The sequence below is a fragment of the Homo sapiens genome, chromosome 11 (assembly GCF_000001405.40).
Source record: "Homo sapiens chromosome 11, GRCh38.p14 Primary Assembly".
In the NCBI taxonomy this organism is placed as follows: Eukaryota; Metazoa; Chordata; class Mammalia; order Primates; family Hominidae; genus Homo; species Homo sapiens.
The window spans coordinates 20,356,659-20,362,919 of record NC_000011.10 but is presented as its reverse complement, the minus strand read 5'-3'; the positions used below and the strand labels follow the sequence as shown (position 1 = coordinate 20,362,919).

At 40.1% G+C, this 6,261-nt stretch overlaps 1 annotated feature.

Annotated features, from left to right (window-relative positions):
• Positions 1,968 to 2,187: an enhancer, noted in NCBI's record as "active region_4525". NCBI's record gives its function as "activates an Ori minimal core promoter by ATAC-STARR-seq in GM12878 lymphoblastoid cells {active_cell/tissue: GM12878}" and the evidence as "EXISTENCE:reporter gene assay evidence [ECO:0000049][PMID:35858748]".

Here is a 6,261-nt window from a genome sequence, read left to right as displayed (position 1 = left end):
AGAAGCCAATGAAACACATTGCCTCTTCCATCTCCATGGGAGTTATTATATGTAGGCTTTGCCTAGGCTCAGCAAGCCAGAGGCTCACGCATAGGTTTTCAGTTTTGGAGGAGTAATGAAAAGATGCAGTGAAGGCCTGAGATATATGTGGGTTGGTTGGGGCAAGGGTATAGGATTATGGCATCATATGATCCACCAGCCATCTGATGGTCTGATCTTGTCTTAAATTCCTGCCTGTTTTCAGAGACTGTTGTGAATACAGTACTTCCTGTTATTCTTCTGATAAATTCCTGTGCTGTATAAGCTTACCAGATATATTCTGTTGTTTGCAATAAAAAAGCTTGATTAATATAGAGCAGTGTGGTTCATTCCCCACTGGCCTGTCACAGTGCCTGGACTCTTCCCTTTGAGTTCCTAAAGGTTTTCTACAAGAATGCAATGTTAAACCTTGTCAGCAAACACTGTCCTAGTAATTCATTTATCAAATCTGTCACAGAAATTATTCATTGTACCCTGTCTATTCTTCCCCTTTGTTTAAAATTGTGGCATAATTAATATACAATAAAATGTACAGAACCTAAAGGTTCTGTTCCATGATTTTAGGAGATTGTATATACACCTAAATAACCACCACCAAAAACAAGATATAGAGCATGTCTGCCATCCCTGAAAGTGCCTTCATTCCCTTCTTGCAATCTCTCCCCACTCCAGAGGTAATCACTTTCTGGTCACTATCAACATAGATTAGTTTTGCCTGTTGTAGAATTCTATTTAAGAGTACAGCATGTACTCTTTTGTGTCCCAGGTTTTTGGCTTAACACATATTTTAGTATTTATTCTTGTTTGTAGGCCTGCATTATGATTTCTATGGGCCCTAAGCACTTCATGAGCCCCTTCATTTTATGTACACACACTATATAATCAAAAATTATGTCTTATGACTATGTTGCTATAAAGATGAATATGACAAACTATTTATATAATCAAAAATTATGTCTTATGACTATGTTGCTATAAAGATGAATATGACAATTTCTTTCACCTAAAACATTTTCTTCCACCTAAAAGTTTATTTTCACAGGCCCCAGAACTGTGCCTACTGTGCCAAATGAGTAAATCAGCCCTGGTTGTTTCATGTATCAGGAATTCATTCCTTTTTATTGCTGAGTAGCCTTCCAGTATTCCAGTATGAATATCCCACAACATGTTTAAATATTCTCCTGTTGATGGACATTTGGTTTGTTTCTACCTTTTGGCTAATTATGAATAAGGCTCCTATGAACATTATTGGACCAGTCTTTCTGCAGTAACATGTTTTCATTACTCTTGGACATATATATACACACACACACACACACATATAATGTTTTATATATATATATAATGTGTATATATATATAAAATGTGTATATATATAATGTGTGTATATATAATGTGTATATATAATGTGTATATATATAATGTGTGTGTATATATAATGTGTGTATATATATAAAATGTGTATATATATATATAAAATGTGTATATATATATAAGATGTGTGTGTGTGTGTGTATATATATATATATATATATATATATATATATATATATATATATAATATAATGACCCTGCAGGCAATCAGACCTTTTGGTTGTCTTCCCTTGTCCCCTAAAAATTGCTGTTATTCTGTTCTTTTTCAAGGTGCACTGATTTCATATTGTTCAAACACACGTTTTACAATCAATTTGTACAGTTAATACAGTTATCATAGTGGTCCTGAGGTGACGTATATCCTCAGCTTACGAAGATAACAGGATTAAGAGATTAAAGTAAAGACAGGCATAAGAAATTATAAAAGTATTATTTGGGAACCGATAAGTGTCCATGAAATCTTCACAATTTATGTTCCTCTGCCGGAGCTCCAGGCAGTCCCTCCATTCGGGGTCCCTGACTTCCCACAACACACTTGCAAGCTAGCACGAGCACGTGACAGTGATTTAGCCAACGAGAAGCAAGCAGAGGTAATATGTGCACATTTGAATCACATCTTTATAAGGAAGTTACCTTCTTTCCTTTCACTTTCCCTTTCCCTTCACTTTCCCTTTCCCCCTTTGCTTAGGCCAGAATGTGAATGTACTGGTAAACCAGCTCTGACCATGAGGAGAAAGACACTCTCTAGAGGATAGCAGGGCAAGGAGCCCTTGGATGACTTCATAGAACAGAGCCGCCTGCCCACCCTGGACTGCCGGCACACCTCTGGGGAGTGAGAGAAAAATCAACTTCTGTCATGTTGGAGCCACTGTAATTTTGTTACAGCAGCTTAGCCAGCATTTTGCCTAATGTAAGATTCTTTTAGTCAATCTTGTCAATGGATATTTACTGATTATCTAATGCAAGCCAGATACTGTGCTAGGCACAATAGATTTTTCCAAGGTGAATCAGGGACACCAGCTAAATTCACTCTCATCTTGAAGGCAAGTCATAAATACTTGGGAAGCTAAATAAAGTTAAGCAACATTATAAAACATCCCCCAAACTTTCACAGGGTGGCACATGCTGAAGGCCAAATGAGCATACAGAAATAGAAGGAAACTCAGAGAAAAACAAGTCCATGCCTTTCCTTCTCTGACAGCTGGAACCATGTCATCCAAGTGCTGAGATAATGTGACAAGACCTAGGCTCCTAGAGCAACCGGACCACAAAAATTCAGGGCAAAGGGGAAGGGGAAAGCATAGGGAAGGAGGGAAAGGGGACATAAAGAAACGGAGCTGGCATGGAAAGATCCTTGGCCAGAGACCTGCCTGCCACGTTCAGGTTTGCCTTTGATGAAGTCTCTTCATATATCTTGGCCTCCATTTCCCTATCTGTAAGATGGGAACTGTTTCATTACATTCGCTTTGCTCCAAGGAACAAACTGACTCATGGCGAGTAAAGATGGTGAATATTGTAATATTGTAAGGCTATAAATCATGTATAAGAGAGACAGAATCTCAGAGAAATCTCAAAACAGGATCTGCTGTAGGATGGGGCCTTAGGGAGACTGGAACTGTATTTAGGTCAGATTTAGAGTCCTCAGGATCAGGGATCCATGCATCTTCACTTCAGAGCTATATTTTTAGTTATACCTTCATTAAGACTCTGTTTCACGTGTTTGAAGCCCCAAACTCAAAATGTTTTGAGGAAAAAAAAAAAGGAAATGTCCTGGCTCATGCAACTAAAGAATCAGTGTATATAATAGTCTTGGCATGACCAGAATCAGCCAGTCAGCCAATGGGGCCAGGACCCAGTCCCTCTGCCAACCATGGCTCTATTTCCCTTCACGTCGGCCTTACTCTCAGACCCTGCAAGATGACCCAAAGGCTGTGCTCTTGCTCATACTCTTCATTGTCTAAATTCAACCAGAAGCTAGAGGGAACTTATATTGTGCAGACCAGTTTTCTTCAGGGCATACAATAAGGTAGATAAATGAGGAGAATGGATGATTGAAGCTATCAAGTACATCCCCCTAGATTCAAGTCCAGTAGAAAGAGCATAACTGTAAGCAGAAGTCCCCAGCTGTATCTCCTTAGTTCTGATTAAACCTTATGATTGTCACTGTGGCTCTGGGAATGAAGCCGGGTGGGGCTATCTCTTCCCACATGTCTGGGAGTAGGGGAGGAAGTAAGGTCCCCAAGGAAAGTAGAGGTCACTATTATAGAAAGAAAACAGAACGGATGTTAAATAGCATCTAAAGTGGCTATACTTGTTCCCCATTTATCTCATTTATTTGTAAATATGAATGCTAGATAATTTTTTTTTTTTTTTAACAAATGAGAGCTTTAAATAACTGTAGCATGACTAAGATATCTGGTTGGGCACATAAGAGGTTGGATTTGGTAAAGGTAGGTGTCTGAAAGAAAGTATTGTAATTTTCTGCTCTCACATAACAAATACAACCATGAATTGCATTCAACAGTTTAGGTAGTTGATTTAGTGTATCTATCGTGTTCTTGATAGCTAATTGTTTTTATAGATGGAGAAACTGAGTCACACGTTTATTAAATATATCATCTAAGATCTTGGGATTCAACTTTGGTGCCAGGACAAGAACCTGGATATCCAGATCAATGACAAAATCATGAGTAATACCTGTGTAATTCTAGAATGTTTTCAGGAAAGCATAATTCTTCTTGTTTTTAGCTGATAGCACTGTATTTGTTAAATTCTTCAGGTTCCCTAGCACTCATGGGTATGTCCTCTTACTGATATATACCAAAGGAATAACCTATGTAAAAGCACTGTGGTAGGTAGAAGTATGGCTGGTTTTGAAGGGCCAAAAACCAATATGCTTGAAATGGAGAGATGGAAGCATGGGGCAGGGGCAGGGCAGGGGAGGGGAGACTAGAGAGGCAGGTAGGGACCAGCCTGTGAAGGACATCATAAGATACATTATCATTTATAATTATTGTTAAATTTTAGGTTTTAAAATTTAGCAAACTTGATTTTATTAGATTTATTTTTTATGGTTTTCTTCTATTCAAGGTAGTGAAATATTACCTTAATTACCATTAATACATTTATTAGTACCTGTTACTAGTAGTACATTTAACAAAGTTTAAAAAAAAAGAGGACGTTTTCATAAAATATTAAGTACAGCTGAGTGTATTGTAAACATAGGATATGGTAAACTCATGAAAATAGTATCTGAAGGAGTAAAGTTTGGGAAACACTGGTATGTTGGGCATTTTTCTTTTTTCTTTCTTTTGTGAGATATGATCTTGCTCTGTCGCCCAGGCTGTAGGGCAGTGGCATGATCTCAGCTCATTGCAACCTCTGCCTCCCGGGTTCAAGCTCCCACAGCCTCCCGTGTGGCTGAGACTACAGACACGCATCTTTTTTTTTTTTTTCTCCAGAAACAGGGTTTTGTCATGTTGCCCAGGCTGGTCTTGAACTCCTGAGCTCGAGTAATTATCTGTGTCAGCCTCCCAAGTACTGGGATTACAGGCACATTTTTCATTTGCCCCTCCAGATCCACTTTCCACTCTCTGTATCCTTTTCTGTGACTCCACAGCTGACCTCTAAGGCCTGCATCACCCAGTCTACCTTGTCCTCCTTGACCTATCACCTACCTTGGTGATAAGAGTCACCAGTAGGAAATTGAAGCAGAGGAGGAGTATGGGGTTAGGGGCTTTATTCCCCTGAATTCCTGCTATGAGATTGCTATTCCTCGACCCAAGAGCCTCACTCCTGTCTGATAGCCTCCCTGACAGCTGCAGGCACTCTCTCCAGGTTCCAGTAACCACCTCCTTGCCTCAACCTTTTAGACTTAGGAGTAGAAATGGCTCCCCGCTATTGCTAGCACTGAGACACAGCACCATTCCTTGTTGGGTTTTCTTTAACCCTTCCTGCTTCCTTGTAAATAATCTTTCACTAAATTCTCCCTCAGTTACTCTGTTGGAACATGTTCTCTGTTTCTTGCCAGGACCCAAACTGATACACATGATGTGGTAGAAAGCAACTTTGCAGTCAGACGGAAGTAGATTTGAATCCTGGCCATCCACTTAGTAGCTGTGTGACCTCAGTGAAGTCCAACTAGATAAGCACAATATTTATCAAAACAGGAAGACTCTGCTCTGTGAGGTCAGCCACCACATCTATCTCACTGCTACAGCCCCAGCTTTGGGGCAGTGTTTGGCACTTAGTAGGTGCTCAAGAAAAATGTTTTCATGGGGTAGATTTCACCATACCTTATGCATGAGACCTAGGAGAGTAAGAGGTGAACTAGTCAAACATACTTTATGGATGACCCCCAAGAATGTAGCAAGACTTGTGCAAGTAGTGGATCTTAGACACACTCTTTAATGCAGGCAACAAAAGGAAGGGTTGAGGCTGGTAAAAAAAATTAGAAAACATGTCAAGGAACTGACTGGCAAAGAGCACCCTGCCTACTACACCACCATGTCCCTAGAGATCTCATCTCCTCCCCCACTATCACTCCACCTCAAAAGCCAGTTCCCTTCTGAAGGGGGACTCTGTTGAGAGGGCATGTCTTCTTTCTGATGAGGAGGGAACATGAGGGAAGGCACACAAAGAGACCTGAGGGTCCCAGGGAGAAGACAGTGAAGGAACAACCAGATGGGCAGAGGATTTATGCAAGACCAGGGCTGGATTGGCAGGGAAGCCACAGATGTCATGGTCCCTGAAAGTCAAAAAGAGGTGATGAGCTGGTATATTAGTTTCCTAAGGCTGCTGTAACAAATGACCACACACTGGATGGTTTACAACACCAGAAACTTACTC